This window comes from Homo sapiens, chromosome 13 (assembly GCF_000001405.40).
Source record: "Homo sapiens chromosome 13, GRCh38.p14 Primary Assembly".
Classification (NCBI taxonomy): Eukaryota; Metazoa; Chordata; class Mammalia; order Primates; family Hominidae; genus Homo; species Homo sapiens.
This window is the reverse complement of record NC_000013.11, coordinates 23,310,036-23,327,817: the sequence shown is the minus strand read 5'-3', so window position 1 is coordinate 23,327,817 and position 17,782 is coordinate 23,310,036. Positions and strand designations below refer to the sequence as shown.

At 41.2% G+C, this 17,782-nt stretch overlaps 1 protein-coding gene and 1 long non-coding RNA gene across 6 annotated transcripts in view, besides 2 other annotated features; one reads left to right on the top strand and one right to left on the bottom strand.

Moving 5' to 3' along the window:
- Nucleotides 2,656–17,782, bottom strand: part of SGCG (sarcoglycan gamma) — a 164,655-nt gene continuing 149,528 nt past the window's right edge. For all 5 annotated transcript variants that reach the window (NM_001378244.1, XM_047430542.1, NM_001378245.1 and 2 more), the window contains 2 exons: nucleotides 7,058–7,181; nucleotides 2,656–3,450 (listed from right to left, as the gene is read on the bottom strand). In NM_001378244.1, coding sequence (NP_001365173.1) covers nucleotides 3,277–3,450; nucleotides 7,058–7,181 — 298 coding nt within the window. In that variant the 3' untranslated portion in view covers nucleotides 2,656–3,276. The remainder of the gene's footprint in view (nucleotides 3,451–7,057; nucleotides 7,182–17,782) is intronic.
- LOC107984585 (uncharacterized) lies at nucleotides 3,445–16,933 on the top strand. Its single transcript, XR_001749787.2, has 2 exons — nucleotides 3,445–6,252; nucleotides 15,703–16,933. It is a non-coding gene; the product is annotated as an uncharacterized LOC107984585 (long non-coding RNA).
- Nucleotides 6,079–6,168: an enhancer, noted in NCBI's record as "active region_7451". NCBI's record gives its function as "activates an Ori minimal core promoter by ATAC-STARR-seq in GM12878 lymphoblastoid cells {active_cell/tissue: GM12878}" and the evidence as "EXISTENCE:reporter gene assay evidence [ECO:0000049][PMID:35858748]".
- Nucleotides 6,179–6,368: an enhancer, noted in NCBI's record as "active region_7450". NCBI's record gives its function as "activates an Ori minimal core promoter by ATAC-STARR-seq in GM12878 lymphoblastoid cells {active_cell/tissue: GM12878}" and the evidence as "EXISTENCE:reporter gene assay evidence [ECO:0000049][PMID:35858748]".

The following is a 17,782-nucleotide window of genomic DNA, read 5'->3' as shown; positions in this document are numbered from 1 at the left end:
CTCCTGAGTAGCATGCAGTCTAGGAAAGGGATGGAGCAGCTTCTGCACTCGTGAACAGGGTCTTTGCTGCAGAGGCTCCAGGGACAGGGACAGGGCATCCCCAGAGGGATGGCTCGATTGTTCATAGTCTCCGGGAGGAAACAAGTGAAAAACTTGCACCATACAATTCGTTAACGGAGCAGGGAGTGCCGAGAGCCCAAAAATGATTTGGGAAAAATCTTAAAATAGTATTTAACAGAATGAAGAGGAGTTGTTCACAGGTCTGAGTTGTTCACAGGTCTGATTTTGGGATGAGTAGGATTTATTTCTTTCATTGGTGCCAGTTGACATTTTTGGTAGTTTAAATGTTTTGTAGATCTCAAGGATGACATTTATATAGTGCTGGTAGAAAATAGCATATAGAAGCATATTTGAAGTGGAATTTACTATGTGAAGAAGACTGCTAAAGCCAAGTAAGAGGCGATGTTTCAAATCGAAGGGGACACAAAGCTGCATCAGCAGACACAATCTGAAAACCATCGTGCACAAAATTCTGCTCGTTCAGAAGAGCTTCTACCCTCATTCCCTGTTTCCCATAGGAGCACAGACTGAAGTTTTTGGATGACCTAGTGGGGGTTGGCGGGGGGAACCCAACACACATGGCTTGACTCTTCTAATGTGAATTTGACTGCTTTCAGAGAAGGCATCTGTCCATCCTCCTCATGTAGCAGTTATAGAAGTTGGGAGCCTTTAGTTCTGCCTGTGACCAGAGTGGTTTGTGTTTTATTCAGCTGTGAAGTTATTAGGAAGTCCATTTTGCTGCAAACCAGCTATCTTTATCATTATTTTTTATTTTATTTATTTATTTTTTTGAGATGGAGTCTCACTCTGTTGCCCAGGCTGGAGTGCAGTGGCACAATCTCAGCTCATTGCAACCTCCACCTCCTGGGTTCAAGCAAATCTCCTGCCTCAGCCTCCTGAGTAGCTGGGACTACAGGCACCCGCCACCACGCCCAGCTAATTTTTTGTATTTTTAATAGAGATGGGGTTTCACCGTGTTAGCCAGGATGGTCTCGATCTGCTGAGCTCGTGATCTGCCTGCCTCGGCCTGCCAAAGTGCTGGGATTACAGGCGTGAGCCACCGCACCTGGACCACTATCTTTATTATTAAAGCATAATAGTAGTAGATTTTGATCTTCATCTTTTTGACTGTATCTACTTGTCAGTTCATAAACTGGGAAATAAATGAGTGCTATTTTTAGATCCCTAATGTAGCAACACTCAATAGTCTATAGGAGTATCAGTCTATATACCCCGTGATGTACGTTTATAACCATGACTGTATGCCTTCAATGAAAATTTATATGTTTAATAAGACAGATATATGTAATGCATTTTAGAATACAGCTCATCTAAAAGCTTTGATTCTAATGAAGGATAAATTCCTTATTGTGGAGAATGCATTTATCTGTAACAACTTCTTTCAACATTATTCCATATAGCTAAGGATAAAAAAATAGAATTTAAACCTTTTATTCAAAAGGTTCTGTTCTCCACACTTTCTACTTGACTATTTTTATTTACCTCACTTTATCATCTACACACAAATTTTTGGACACATAATATGAGAACCAAGCTAGTTTATAAATGTTTAGTGATCTAGTGATCCCGTGTTTTATCAGCTGGGCTTGAAGACATATTTCGCACAAACAGGGAACAAAATACCAGGAACCATTTACTATGACAATAGGAATGTCACAGTAAGAAAGCAGTTTACTCAGGACTCAACCAAATGGAAAAAGGTAAATATCAATTTATAAGTAAAAGCACCCAACTGCCTGTGAAATGTGAATTACACTGAGTTGAGTTTGCTCTTAACTGCTTGGAAAGCACTGTATTTTTATTTTGCAATTTCAAGTGTTTATGCATTCTGGCCATTTAAACATCAGGGAGTTGTTATGAGCAGGCTATGCTGTTAAATGAACATCTTACTAAGCATTAGGAATAGAGTTCACTTTTGTACTTTCTCTTGATTCTGAGACTATGGAAAATGAATTTGAACTTATATTGATAGTTATTAATATGTCATATCATTAGAAAGTTGCAGTGCTGTTGGTCTCCCTACACCTATTTGAAGATTCTTCTTATAATAAGTAAAACAAAAACAAATGCACCACTTTTTGTGATAGAGGGCATTTTACAAAGTGAGTGGGTGGCCTACACAAAACGAACCTGTCTTCAGAGGTTCAGTGTGTCCTATTTGATTTCTATAGCACCTTACACAGCCAATTGGCACTAAACATGTTCACAAGCTCTGAGTGTCTTGTTTCTATGAAGTTACGTCCAGACTTGTGTCTATCATGTGGAGGCAAGTACCACAGACTAGCCCTTTGATCTTGGTAGAGACAAAACCTCTTTGGGCTTCAGTTTCTTTGTTTGTCAAATAAGTGCTGTACAATTATCACATAGACGGGTGTTTTGGAGACAGCACATGAAACTTTTTCAAAGTGAAAAGAGCTATGTAAATTTAGGGTTACATTTTGGTTTAATTTCAGTAGTTACCATGTGACCTTGTGACTTGTTCTACCTGAGCCTTTGTCACCAGTAACTTGGGGAAAAATAATAGCTACCTCAAAGATTTGTGAGGATTAAAAAAGACACTCTTAAACTGTGAACTCTGAAAAATGAGGTTTTTATTGCTTATTGACTATATACAGAAAGTTTAATTTTGAGTGATTTATTCCTTTAACTACATCTTGAAAACCAGATCAACCTCAAATTCCCTTCAAAACTTGAAAATTTTCTTGTGAAACCTGACTTACTTGCATTAAACTGAAGGGAGGATGTGAGGTTTGAATGCTATAAAGGAAATGCTGTATAGAACTTTGGGGCATTTTAGTACTGAGCAAGGCTACTCTCAACAGGGCATTAGATATCCACAGTGGAGCGTCATACATTAACTCCACACGGCAACTCAACACTCAGTGTGTGCCCACACGGACAAGATAGGGGGAGGCGAGGCAGAGAGAATTCGCAATTGTTCCGGTGAAAATTAATCCAGTGGAAAAACACATTGCTTTTCCATTTTGTCAACTTTTGTGTCTCACATCCACGTGCATTTTGAGATCATGTAGTTTTTGTCCAAACACTTTCACTGGCACATAATTTTTTCTGAGTTCCTCTGGAAGCGTTTACTTCCCATCCACGCTGCCTCAGTCTTTCACGATGTGCAGCTGCTCCCTGGGTGTGAGGATCTGGGGCCGGCACTGCACAGCTCACCGAGAGGACGCAGGCAGCTCAGAGGCAGATGTGGTTGTGCTCCTGGCACGTGGTGCTCACACCGGCCACAGACAGGTACAGCTTCCCATCTGGACACACACAGATTTCGTAGAGGCTCTGTGAGCTGCCAGAGGGACCCCACGTCCCCTGCACCAGCTTGGGTAAGCACACAGTTTCAGCATCAAGCACAAGCTGGTTGGGAGAAGATGAGAGACGAAGAGTTAAGGAAGGGCCACCCTGGTCAGCAGCAAATCCCCATTCTCACAAGATTTCCAATTAGTTTCTTCTCCTCATAGAAAACAAAATAGGCACCTGACTTTATGTAACTCATTTCGTAATTATCCGATTCTTTTAAAGCCCAGTTCTATTTTACATGCAGGCTGGGACTTCACAATTCCTTCCACATTGGAGGGAGGCGCTTTTCCGGTTTGTCATTGTTTGAGTGCAGCTGAGAAATGTGGCCCCATTGTGAAAACATGTTTCACCTTTACAGTTTGTTTTTGTTTCAATAAACTGGGTTGCTTTTCAGTTTTGTGATGCTATGCTTCTCAAAACGCCTTTCAGAATTATTTGTCAAACATATTAGAATTCTCCCGATTCACATTTATCTTGTGACTCACTTTGACTTTATGTAAATCCTCTCCTCCCCATTAGGATAAAGTACAATCCATTAGAATAGATTCATCTTAATAATTTTTACCCATGAATGATGAAGTTTATCCTGATTTTATTCCTGATTTTGTTTTCCTATGAGAGGCAATTAAATTCATCCTATTAGCTGGCAACCATTTCCCTAATTTTTATATATTATTTGAAACTGCACAGCCTCCTATTAGATGCTGAAAAGCAGTAGACACGCAGACTAAGCCAATTAAAATGAAATGAAAACTACTGGATATTCTGGTCATATGATAATTTAGTTAAACTGAAGTGCAAACAAAGAGCCGTAGATTGAGGCTTGGAAATCTTTTTGATAAGGAAATAAAAATCGTCACATCCAGCAGCCAAACGTTGCCCACTCCAGGGCACTCACTTGTTACAAGGAATTAAACTGAATGTGGGTAGGCATAATTCTGTCCTTGCCAAGGAGAGCTCCTTCCTTTATGTTATGTGGCTCTTATCCTTGCCTTCCAATCTATTAACAACCTGCTGTCTGCTGCACGCATTCGCCGGTGTGCACCTGCCAGGTGAGGCTTGATCACACGACCCCACAGCATTGCAGGCAGCTCTGTGCCGTGCATGGTCTGGTGCAGTCACGGTCAAAGAAGTCAAATAGCTGTTAATATGTTTTTCAAGTAGAATCTTTAGGTTATTATCTAACGCCTCATTCTTGATTTTTATTTCTGCATTTCTCTGCTCCTGACATCACAACTTCATAGGTTATGACCTGCAGTGGCTTCCCCTGAAGACCTGTGTTCCACTAGCAGGCTGTCATCTGATGGGTCCTGCCCACACACTCTGGTGCTGTTCTCGCAGCTGGCTTGATGATGGCACCATATCCACCTACACCTTTACTACACGTTCCTATTAATATCACAGTAATGTAGTTTCAAAATGTTGGCACCCATATTCCTACAGTAGTGTCTCAAAACCCTATGACATAATTAAGCAAATATTATATTCCCTATTTGCTGAGACAGGCCTAGAGAGGGCCGGATAAGAGTCCTGAATTCAAACAGGTAATGAGGGAATTTGATCTAGCACTAGGACTCAGGCTTCCTGACTTCCAGGTGAATCCTCTGCCCGCGGCACCACGTTACACCTGTTGGCGGGGGGGGGGGGGGGGGGAGGTGGATGGGTGGGGGGCGGTCTGTGCATCGCCGCAGGTGCGATGATAGGGCCTGGGCTGGGGAGGAGCTTGGAAACCCATGTGCCTTCTTGTTGTACTAACAGCGTCCATGGATGTTTATCCCAGCACATTCACCCGGTGTATGGAGATGCACCTGACTGCAATAACTCAGGCAATCCCTGAGAATGACTCTATGATCCAAGAAGAATGTGTGTTCAGCCTTCTGAGCTAAGGAGTCTGGGAGTGGCAAACCCTGAGATTCAGTCCACATCTGTGAAGGACATCGGAGCGCCTGGCCCATCCCTTGCAACACAGGCCATATGGGGGATCGAGGCCCTTTGTTTTGGGTTAAATGGAAGTTGTTGCTAAGTGAAAATGCTGTATAACCTGCATGCTTTTTAAAAATGGGAGCAGTTTTCCAGTCCAGCTCGCTGCTACTGGACCGCCCTGTCTGTTAAGTCCTCAATAAACCCTATGTCCTGTTCCATGGCTCTGGGTCTCTTCTTCAGCCTTTTGGACGTGGTGCCATCCCTATTGGATTCCACAGGGTCTGTCAGGCAATGGTGGCATGAGTGAACACAACCCATGTCACTCACTGCACTCACTCTTGGTAAGACAGAGCTATGTACAAGACAATTCTTGCAGCAGTGGCTTATTTTGAGCACATTCATACATATGAAAATATCTGGGGTTAGGCCAAGAAGATGAGATCAGTTGTTTGCACAAATCTATAAATATGGCATCATACAATTGGAATGAGCTTATAAACCAAATCCTTGGTTTTCTTCTAGACCATTTAGGAACATCCCTAACATGTCTGATTTTCTGGTTGACCGAAATTGAGCTTTTTCCTTTTTTTTTTTCTAACAAACAGGGTTCCAATATCAGTATTGAGCACTGTGTGCTGTAAGCCTCATTGTGACTTTGGCTTGTGTCAGTGAGGTTTTAGCAGCTCCTCCCCTGCTGCCTGCTGTTTCACTTTCTTTGGTTTTAGTTTTGATTTTAGTTATCTGCTGTCAACTTTGGTCTGGATAATATTAAATGGAAAATTCCAGAAATAATTTATACATTTTAAATGGCACCCCTTTCTGACTAGCGTGATGGAATCTTGAGCCGTCCAGCCCAGGACATGAATCATCCCTGTGTCCAGCATCTCCAGCTGTCTACGCTCCCAGCCCGTGAGTCACTGAGGAGCCATCTCCACGGTGAGATCCACTGTTAAGTTATTGTGGTACTTGTGTTCAAGTCACCGTTAATTTTAATTAATAATGGCTCCAAAGCACAAGAGCATTGATGCTAGCATATTGTCATAATCACTTCATTTTATTGTGAGTTATTGTTCTTAATCTCTCACTGAGCCTTATTTATAAGTTAAACTTTAGCAGAGGTGTGTATGCACAGGAAAACAGATAGTGTATACAGGGTTCTGTACTCTCTGTGGTTTTAGGCTTCCAGTAGGGGTCTTGGAACAAATCCCCTGTCAATAAAGGGGGACAACTGTATTTCTAGACTTGAAGTCCCAGATTTTATCTTTATTGTAGTTGACTTTGAAAAAAACACTCTTATTTTTCATCTTTCATTTTCATTTAAACTGGAAATGCAGCTTAAACGCAGCACTCTGGGCAGTGAAAGGTGACAGTGGTTGTTAGTGGGTGACTCCTAGTGACAGCCATCCCTAGGAAATGGCAAAATGGACATTCTCTGTAAACTGTGAACGTCTGTAGTGTTTTTTTTTTCCGACTTGAAAATAACAAGTCACTAAATCACTTGATAGCATAAATGCCAGTTAAAGAAAGCTGTCTGGATCTAATACAGAATAATTTTAGACTTTCTTGGCCCTTCTTTCAATGCTAAATTGTCTTTTGCTTTCCTTGTACATTTGCTACTCTATGACCTTCACAATGTTTTCCTACAAACTACTAGAAATTTAATACTGATAGCTTTACAGACATGGTACTCAGGAATATCATCAGGACATACAGTAGGAGGCTGATCTGTGAATGAACTCACCATTCCATCACTACTATGAAAAAGAATATCCATTTGAGAAAGCGCCTCAATTTTCCCAGCGTGAGCTTGAATATGCACACCCCTTGGGGCATCCATGCTTAGACTCCGAGTGGGGGATTCTAATCTGAGATGAGGAAAAGAAGCACAAAAAAAAAAAAAAAAAGTATTAAAAATAGCCACTCCAGCAATCCCTCAACTTAGCATGGGAAATATAACTAGTAAGATATGTAAGTCTTCAAGTCATTCTCAAATGGTAACATATTGTGCATTATTCATTGATAAATCTAGAAATAATGTGAAGTAAGATATAAACTTTGTATCAATGAAAGCCTATGAGATTAGTATCCTCTAAAAGCCGATAAAAACATTAGGCAGTCCTAATCCCATGCAGCAGTTTCCGATGGCATAGTTAAGTACTCTGGCATACTATTTCAGAAGAAAATGCCATTTATGAATTACTATACAAAATTATTTTCGTTATGTTGCCCAGGCTAGAGTGCAGTGGCTCTTCACAGTTGTGATCGTGGCACACTGCAAAATCGAACTCCCGGCTCAAGAGGTCCTCCTGGCTTGGCCTCTCAACCAGCTGTGGCAGGCTTGTTTTTTAGTTAAAACACCAATTTATTTAAGAAAAAAAGATAGATTTAAGGACAACACATGCATTTTCCACATGTTCATAAGACAGAATATAAGTTTGGTCTTTTCTTTATTATTATTTAAAAACATTACAGGGCAAATGGAAAGATTTCTTTTGGAAAAAATACTAAACTGATAGAACCGAAAGGAGGGAGGTTGGCCTCAGCTGGCTTTTGGTTTTGTAAAATTTATCAGACTTTCCTTGTGGTTAAGCCAAATATAGAAAGAGAACCAAAAATATAAGAGCCAGAGGAATTCTCTTACTTGCCTCTGCCTGGAAAAGGCTGTATTTCCACCAGATGGCACAATGTGATCATTTGAAACACTTTTCAGCTGCTCAGCCCCAAAGTTTGAAATGCTGATTTCAAGGAAACGCTTAAAGGGCAGTAGGAAGCAGAACAAACAGAAAAAGATACCTAATTCGGAAATCCTACCCATTGTAGGCTAGGGTTTCATGGGAGGAGAGGGGCAGGGAGCAGAGAGAAAGGGAAGTGGCTTAAGAGAGAAGTACCCTGATAATGAATCTGCACTTAAATTGACTGAACATTTATTTAACAGACTTTTTACATCTGATGAAATTGCTCCCTTGAATTGGCAAGTTTTTTTTAATCTATGACTATTTGTTATAGAAGACAAAGTTTCATTTTCTGAGCATGTGAAGTTTGACCTGCCCCACATTTTGAAGTCTTACCTTGAGTATGAGAAAACGCTTAGAGACATTTATGGAATTTATTGGTCAAGTTAGGCTGGGGAACACTTTGGTACAGCTCCATGTGCATGGTCTGGCTGCCTGCCCAGTTTGCTTTTTGTCTTTTTTTTTTTTTTGAGACGGAGTCTTGCTCTGTCACCCAGGCTAGAGAATACAGTGGTGTGGTCTTGGCTCACTGCAACCACAACCTCCTGGCTTCAGGCGATTCTCCTGCCTCAGCCTCCCAAGTACCTAGGTTTACAGGCACCCGCCACCGTGTCCAGCTAATTTTTGTATTTTTAGTAGAGACGGGATTTCACCATCTTGGCCAGGCTGGTCTCGAACTCCTGACCTCGGGATCCACCCGCCTTGGCCTCCCAAAGTGCTGGGATTACAGGCGTGAGCCACCACGCCTGGCCCCAGTTTGCTATTTTGACCTTGGATAATTGTCTACATTTTTCTTGCGTGGAGGAGTGGAAGGAAGGAAGAACACAGAAGCACCTTTGAAGCCTGGTCAATTTCAGGCAAACTATCTGTGACCTTGAAGATCCTTGTGAAAGTGGGTGTTTCCAAGATCAGTCATTAAACGACAACAAAATGACTTCAACCTGATCATTTACTAGTTTTTAACCATGTTATAATGGGACGCTGCTAAGAAGAGCAAACTTCTTACCCTTTGCATTATTTCTAGACTTGGAGATGAGAAATTTCAGTTCAACCCAGATTGAGACACATTTTACCAAAAGGCTGAGATAAGATTGCTCTGAAGTATACATTTCCATTAACACATTGAACAGTACTCAGATACAAAATAACTTGTTTTCTGTCTTTGTTATATTTTAGTTTACCCTCTTTTCTGAATAGGTAAATACATAAATATTATGACTTCAATGAAAAGTAAAAGAGTTTTGAACAGTGTCACAGAAATATATCCAAATGCTTATGTGTGTGTGTAATATTAAATATATATTATATATAAATATGTATATTTCTATATTAAATATTTAGGTCCCATCATGGCAGTTTTCTTCTTAGGACATAAGACACTGGACATAAGGCACTAACTTTGCTTTCAGAATTTGATTCACTCTCTTCTCATTAGTTCAATTAAAGATGTATACAAAAGACTTGGAAGTTGACTTTGAGAGATCTCACAGTTGATTGGTGTATTAGTCAGGGTTCCCTAGAGGGACATAACTAGTAGGATATAACTAGTAGGACATAACTAGTAGTTATAGTAGGACATAACTAGTAGGAAGGGGAGTTTATTAAGTATTAACTTACATGATCACAAGGTCCCACAATAGGCTGTCTGAAAGCTTAAGGAGCAAAGAGAGCCAGTCCGAGTCTCAAAACTGAAGAACTTGGAGTCCAATGTTCGAGGGCAGGAAGCATCCAGCATGACAAAAAGATGTAGGCTGGGAGCCTTTTCACATTTTTCTGCCTGCATTATATTTGCTGGCCACTGATTAGATGGTGCCCACCCAATTAAGGGTGGGTCTGCCTTCCCCAGCCCACTAACTCCAATGATAATCTCCTTTGGCAACACCCTCACAGACACACCCAGGACCAATACTTTGTATCTTTTAATCCAATCGAGTTGACACTCAGTATTAACCATCACAAGTCCACCCCTTGAACCCATACACATCTCCTGAGATCACACATAATCTTCAAATAAAGATAATAAGGTCATAATTACACCCAACATAATACAACTATCCTTCCTACAACTGGAAACGCACCAATCCCCAACCCAAATACTATTACATAAGTTAACAATACTTAAATGCTGCTATGAAGTCAATAAATCTTATGTAAAATGATAAAGGAAAAGAAAATAAAGATATTTTCTTAGTACAAGTGTATACATGCACAAGTATGTTTTCAGCAAAAAAAAGGAGAAAATACTCATAATTACAGTCCCCGTTTCTGAAGCTGGTCACGTGTTCGTAGCTGGTATTGATGACTACCTTCTTCAACTACCCATTCTGTATTCCCTTTGCCTTCAGCAAGCACCTCAGCAGGTCATGGCTTTTTTCCTGGTGGAGTGAGCCAAACCTTCATTCCTGAGAGGTCTGGGCCGTTTGTAGCCCTGCCTGGATTGGGCTGTTGTAGTTTCCCATTGACCTTAATCACAGGGCATGGTAATACTAAGAGATGCCCTAATGGATCTCCTGTATTCCATGCATATTCTTCCTTACCTCTGTGGTGTAGTAGACTGATTTCATCTTTTTTTTTTGAGACGGAGTCTCACTCTGTTGCCCAGGCTGCAGTGCAGTGGTGTGGTCTCGGCTCACTACAAGCTCTGCCTCCTGGGTTCACGCCATTCTCCTGCCTCAGCCTCCCAAGTAGCTAGGACTATAGGTGCCTACCACCATGCCCGGCTAATCTTGGTAGAGACAGCTTTCACTGTGTTAGCCAGGATGGTCTCAATCTCCTGACCTCATGATCTGCCCACCTTGGCCTCCCAAAGTGCTGGGATTACAGGCATGAGCCACCGCGCCCGGCCAAATGATTTCATCTTGATAGTCTGGGTCAATCACCCCAGCCAACATTGGAACTCCCTTCTTAGCCTGTTGACTTAAACATAGGAGGAGCCCAAAGTGTCCAGGTGGCAATCTTAACTTTCAATTTAATGGAATCATTGTTGTGTCTCCTGGTGGCAGCAGTCCTCCCTCTGGAACTAAGATCTCTAGGCCAGCAGAACGTAATGTCGCAGGAACAGGAAGCAAAAATTTTGCTAGTGGATCACTGGGGTGATGGCGAGTGGTGCCACTTCCACTTCCACCCCTTGATTCCTGGACCCATGAGTCCTGGCTATGGGAGAAACAGTACCACATATTGGACGCTGATTCAGAGCATACACGGCCTTCTGGAGAACTCTGCCCCAGCCCTGCAAAGTATTGTCACCTAGTTGGCACTGTAATTGTGACTTTAAAAGAACATTCCACCGTTCTATCAATCTAGCTGCTTCAGGATGATGGGGAACATGGTAAGACCAGTGAATTCCATGAGCATGAGCCCACTGCTGCACTTCTTTAGCCATAAAGGGAGTGCCTTGATCAGAGGCAATGCTGTGTGGAATACCATGATGGTGGATAAGGCATTCCATGAGTCTACAGATAGTAGTCTTGGCAGAAACATTGCATGCAGGATAGGCAAACCCATATCCAGACTGTCTATTCCAGTGAGGACAAACCTCTGCCCTTCCCATGATGGAAGAGGTCCAATATAATCCAACTGCCACCAGGTAGCTGGCTTATCACCCCAAGGATGGTGCCATATCAAGGGCTCAGTGTTGGTCTCTGCTACTGGCAAACTGGGTACTCAGCAGTGGCTGTAGCCAGAATAGCCTTGGTGAGCGGAAGTCCATGTTGCTGAGCCAATGCGTAACCTCCATCCCTGCCACCATGGCCACTTTGTTCATGGGACTATTGGACAATGACAGGGGTGACTGGGGAAAGAGACTGAGTAGTGTCCTCAGAACGGGTCATCCTATCCACTTGATTATTAAAATCCTTCTCTGCTGAGGTCACCAGTTGGTGAGCACTCACATGGGATACAAATATCTTCACATTTTTTGACCACTCAGAGAGGTCCATCCACATATCTCTTCCCCAAATTTCTTTGTCACCAATTTTCCAATCATGCTTCTTCCAAGTCCCTGACCATCCAGCCAAACCATTGGCTACAGCCCATGAATCAGTATATAATTGCATATCTGGCCATTTCTCCTTCCATGCGAAGTGCACAATCAGGTGCACTACTCAAAGTTCTGCCCACTGGGAAGATTCCCCTTCACTGCTGTCCTTCAGGGATGTCCTAGAAAGGGGCTGTAGTGCTGCAGCTGTCCACTTTTGGGTGGTGCCTGCATATCATACAGAACCATCTGTGAACCAGGCCCTAGTCTTCTCTTCCTCTCTCAACTGATCATAGGGAACTCCCCATGAGGCCATTGGTGCAGGCTGGGGAAGAGAAGGCAGGGTGGCAGAAGGGGAGACCATGGGCATTTGAGCCATTTCCTCATGTAACTTACATGTGCCTTCAGGACCTGCTCGAGCACGATCGCATATATACCACATCCATTTGATGATGGAATGCTGTTGTGCACGACCCACTTTATGGCTAGATGGGTCAAAAGGCACCCACCCAGTTTACGATAGGCAGTTCAGGTCACATGGTGACTTGATGACCCACAGTCAAACTTCCAGTTTCCACCAAAGCCCAGTAACAGGCCAAGAGTTGTCTCTCAAAAGGACAGTAGTTATCTTCAGAAGATGGCAGGGCCTTGCTCCAAAATCCTAGAGGCCTCCACTGTGATTCACCTGTAAGGGCCTGCCAAAGGCTGTAAACAGCGTCCCTATCTGCCACTGACACCTCAAGCACCATTGGATCTGCTGAGTCATATGGCCCAAGCGGCAGAGCAGCTTTCACAGCAGCCTGGACCTGTGGCAGAGCATTCTCGTGTTCTGGACCTCACTAAAAACTGGCAGCCTTTTGGGTCACTCGATAAATGGGCCGAAGTAACACACCCAAATGAGGAATGTGTTGCCTCCAAAATCCAAATAGGCCCACTAGGCATTGTGCCGTTTTCTTGGTTGCAGGTGGGGCCAAATGCAGCAACTTATCCTTCACCTTAGAAGGAGTATCTTGACAGGCCCCACACCACAGGACCCCTAAAAATTTTACTGAGGTAGAAGGTCCCTGAATTTTAGTTGGATGTATTTCCCATCCTCTGGCACACAAATATCTCACCAATAAGTCCAGTGTGTTTGCCACTTCTTGCTCACTGGATCCAATCAGCATAATGTCATCAATGTAATGGACCAGTGTGATATCTTGTGGGAGCGAAAAGTGATCAAGAACTCCACCCTTAATATTCTGTTCCTTTAGAACCACTCCTGGTACTAACATCTGTATTAGTCAGGGTTCCCTAGAGGGACAGAACTAATAAGATATATATCTTATATATATATACCTTTATATATATCTTATATACATATCTTATTAGGGACAGAATAAGATTATATATATATATATATATATATATAACCTATAGCAGACATCATTTCATTTAAAAAATTTAGAAGCATTTCTCAAAGTCAGGAAGTAAACACAGATGTCCATCAATGTAAGATATTCCAAGTCCATATCTTATTAGTTCTGTCCCTCTAGGGAACCCTGACTAATACACCAATCAACTGTGAGATCTCTCAAAGTTCAAAACTCTCTCTCTCTCTCTCTATATATATATATACTGTTCAAAACTCTATATATATAGCTATATAGATACAGATATAGATATATAGATATAGATATATATAAAGGGGAGTTTATTAAGCATTAACTTACATGATCACAAGGTCCCACAATAGGCTGTCTTCAAGCTGAGGAGCAAGGAGAGCCAGTCCAAGTCTCAAAACTGAAGAACTTAGAGTCTGATGTTCAAGGGCAGGAAGCGTCCAGCATAGAGAAAGATGTAGGCTGGGAGGCTAGGCCAGTCTCACCTTTTCACATTTTTCTGCCTGCTTTATATTCGCTGGCAGCTGATTAGATTGTGCCCACTGGGGTTAAGGGTGGGTCTGCCTTCCCCAGCCCACTGACTCAAATGTTAATCTCCTTTGCCAACACCCTCACAGACACAACCAGGATCAATACTTTGAATCCTTCAATCCAATCAAGTTGAGACTCAGTACTAACCATCATAATTGGTGTTATAAAAAATACAATTAAGGTGACTTGATTGCTAAGGCAGGAGTAGTATTTTTCCTATGGTACTGAGCTGCTACAAAGCAGGCGAGTTTTAAGTTGTGCTCCTTTTTAAATAAAAATAAATAGAAGTCAGTAATTTTCCAAAGTTTACCCCATATTCATTTTTAATTGAATTTATAGACTATGAACAGTCAAACATGTATGACCTTAATAGTTATTGCTCATGTCATATTAATGTCATTTTTAAAAAAAGAGAAGGCCAGGCTCAGTGGCTCACGTCTGTAATCCCAACACTTTGGGAGGCTGAGGCAGGTGGATCAATTGAGGTCAGGAGTTTGAGACCAGCCTGGCCAATATGGTGAAACCCTGTCTCCACTTAAAATACAAAAATGAGCTGGGCATGGTGGTGGATGCCTGTAATCCCAGCTACCTGGGAGGCTGAGGCAGGAGAATTGCTTGAACCCAGGAGGCAGAGGCTGCAGTGAGCTGAGATCCTGCCACTGCACTCCAGCCTGGATGACAGAGTGAGACTCCATCTCAAAAAAAAAAAAAGAAGAAGAAGAAAACTTACTGAAAAATATGAACAGTGCATCAATTTAAAGCTTTTTCAGGCTCTTATTAAGCCCAAATTTTACAAATAGGATGAGAGACCAGGAAGCATGAATATAAGTATGATAAGAAAACCTAATCTTTTATTTTCAGGAAACAGTTCAGAGGATTATCAATGGCTGAAGAATGGGTAACTCACCTTACATACCATACAAAAATTTCCAATTTTCAAAAACTTGAAATCTAATACATGTACTCAGCACTAAGACTAAACTGAACATGATTTTTATATTTCTTTAAAAATTTCCTAGTATTACCTAATACATGTTTTTGGAGACACCATTTTTTTTCAAATGTCACATTTGGAAAAACAATTTAATATAAAAGAAAATCTCCATATTTATCAGTACAGTTTAAAAATATGTATAGATTTAGGGGGTACAAGTGTCGTTTTGTTACATGAATATATTACATAGAGGCAAAGTCTGGGCTTTCAGTTAACCATTGCCCGAATGGCATGCACTGTACCCATTAAGTGATTTCTCATCCCTCACCCCCTGATCCTCCCAACCTGCTACGGCTATCATTCCACACACTACGTCCATGTGTACACATCACTTAGTTTCCATCTATAAGTGAGAACATGTGGTACTTGCCTTTCTGAGGTATCTTATAGAAGTACAGTTATTAAAATGTCATTGAAAATGAAAACTGGTGAACACTTCCATATTTAACAATATGTTTTTAAAATCTTACTTCATGGCTTCAAGTACAATTATTCTTAAAATTTAGTCCCTTTCTAGTTTTCAAAACACCAAAATCAACCGGATTTACTCCTCTGGAAAAGAATGTGAAAGGCTTTTTGAAGCTGGCATTGAGCATCTTGTGGGTTTTTATAAATTGGCATAGAGACTGTGTTGAATTTCCACAGCTTTGTATTTAAAAGAGGAATTTTAGCTTATAGAAATTTCCCTTTGGTAGGTTCTTAGAAAGGATTCTATGAATATGACATCTGAATGAATCTAGATGCAATAAATTGTCATTGTTTCATTTGCAGGCACCTGGATTACTTGGAGCCAAAGAAGAAGCTAGAGTCCGCAGAGACACAGAAGGTGATTATGGGAGGGGATGGCACCAAGGACATAGGTGGCAGATGCAACCTTGGAAACGATGAGGCTCACCTTCTTCTATAAGGTTGCAAAAAAGCAACGAAAACATGCACATTTACAGCAAATTAGAGAACTGGGCAGGAGAAAAGTTGAAAGGAGTTGTCAGCTGACCTAAGTGATCTGTCCAGAAAGGGTCACGGTGGGGGGTTTGGAGGTCAGAGGAGAAAGAACAATAATTTCAATGAAAAAAATCTATTTTCTAATTTGAGAAATTAGATAGAAAGATAACTGAAAATATGTTGAAAGTGACCTTGCATCATTTAGGAACTGTTGGGTTTTTGTACTCATCTTTAGTAATTTTATCCTGAATACGCACATGAGGTGTTTGGGATCAGAGGCTGATTCCTCATCGAACACCTCAGTATAAGTAGCACATGTCAGCCTCACTTTGCCCTCATCTCTACCCCAGGCCAACGTGCCGAGCACCAAGCCAGTTGTCCTGTAGGAGTAGTCAGACACCTTATAGGTGAAGGCTGAAGAAAAGTGACTTTATCAAGGGGAAGGAGGGAGCTCGCTACCACCCCAGTGAAAAGGTCTCTTGATGGGGTCCACAGACTACAAGTGAAAAACCTCTACCCTCTAGAGAATGAGGAAGACATACATATGAAGAACTATGGCTAATAATTTTCCAAAATTGAAAAAGAACATGAGTTTCTGAAACTGAAGAACTGAAGAAGTTCACTGATACTCAAGTATAAACTAACACATACCAGACACCGTGGTGAAACTGCAGATGGCCAACATTAACAATAAAATCTTAAAAGAATTCAGAATGAAAATCACATGATCTCTAAAGAATCAAAAGTGCACTAATGAGTAATATATTTTAAAATACTCGTGTAAAATTATTGTCAGCCTAGATAGAAATCTGGCTCAGCCTAACCAGCACTTGACTATAAAGGAAACTGGACATTTCAGACACAGGGAACAAATGTACAATCTATAGATCTTCACCAAAAAATGTACTTATGGAAATTAAATAAGAAGAAAAGAATGTTTCCAAGAAGAAGCAGTGGACATTACAAAATGTGCTGGTAAAGCTAAATAGATATGGCCTGAAAAAATAAAGCAGGGAGATGAATAAAAGCAATGCTGAAATAAAACCACAATGAAAGGGAAGTTTGGATGGAAGTGACTAAGTTTTTAAAAATATTATTTGGGAAGAAGGTGGTATTGATGTAGACTTGGTTGACAAGTATTAATTTGTGTCTGTGCATATAAACAAAAGACAATCATTGAAAGAATAAAAATAGAACTATTGGGGGAAATATGGGTGGAGAGGAGGAAAAGTTTATTAATCCAACAAAAAAAGAAAAAGGAGAAAAAATGAAAAGAAAAAGCATGGTAAATAAAACAAAATGATAGAAATGTGGCAAATAAACCAGTTACCATAATAAATATAAATGGGCTAAATTAACCCATTAAAAGAAAATCTCAAACCAAAAAATTTGAAACATAGAGAAACAACTGAAACATAATGCTGCAAACATATTGAAAATAAAACACTTGGAAAATGTAAATCAGTGCAAAAGAAAGTAGGACCAGGTATAGCAATTGTAATACCAGACAAAATAAGGGCAAAAGGGTAACATTACTTATGATTAAAAGGAAGAATTCAGGCCCGGCGCGGTGGCTCACGCCTGTAATCCCAGCACTTTGGGAGGCCGAGGCGGGCAGATCATGAGGTCAGGAGATCGAGACCACCCTGGCTAATAGGGTGAAACCCCGTCTCTACTAAAAATACAAAAAATTACCCGGGTGTGGTGGCGGGCGCCTGTAGTCCCAGCTACTTGGGAGGCTGAGGCAGGAGAATGGCGTGAACCCAGGAGGCGGAGCTTGCAGTGAGCCGAGATCGTGTCACTGCACTCCAGCCTGGGCAACAGAGCAAGACTCCGTCTAAAAAAAAAAAAAAAAAAAAAAAAAAAGAGAAAAACAAGGCAAAAATACTAAGTATATAGAAGATGTTAA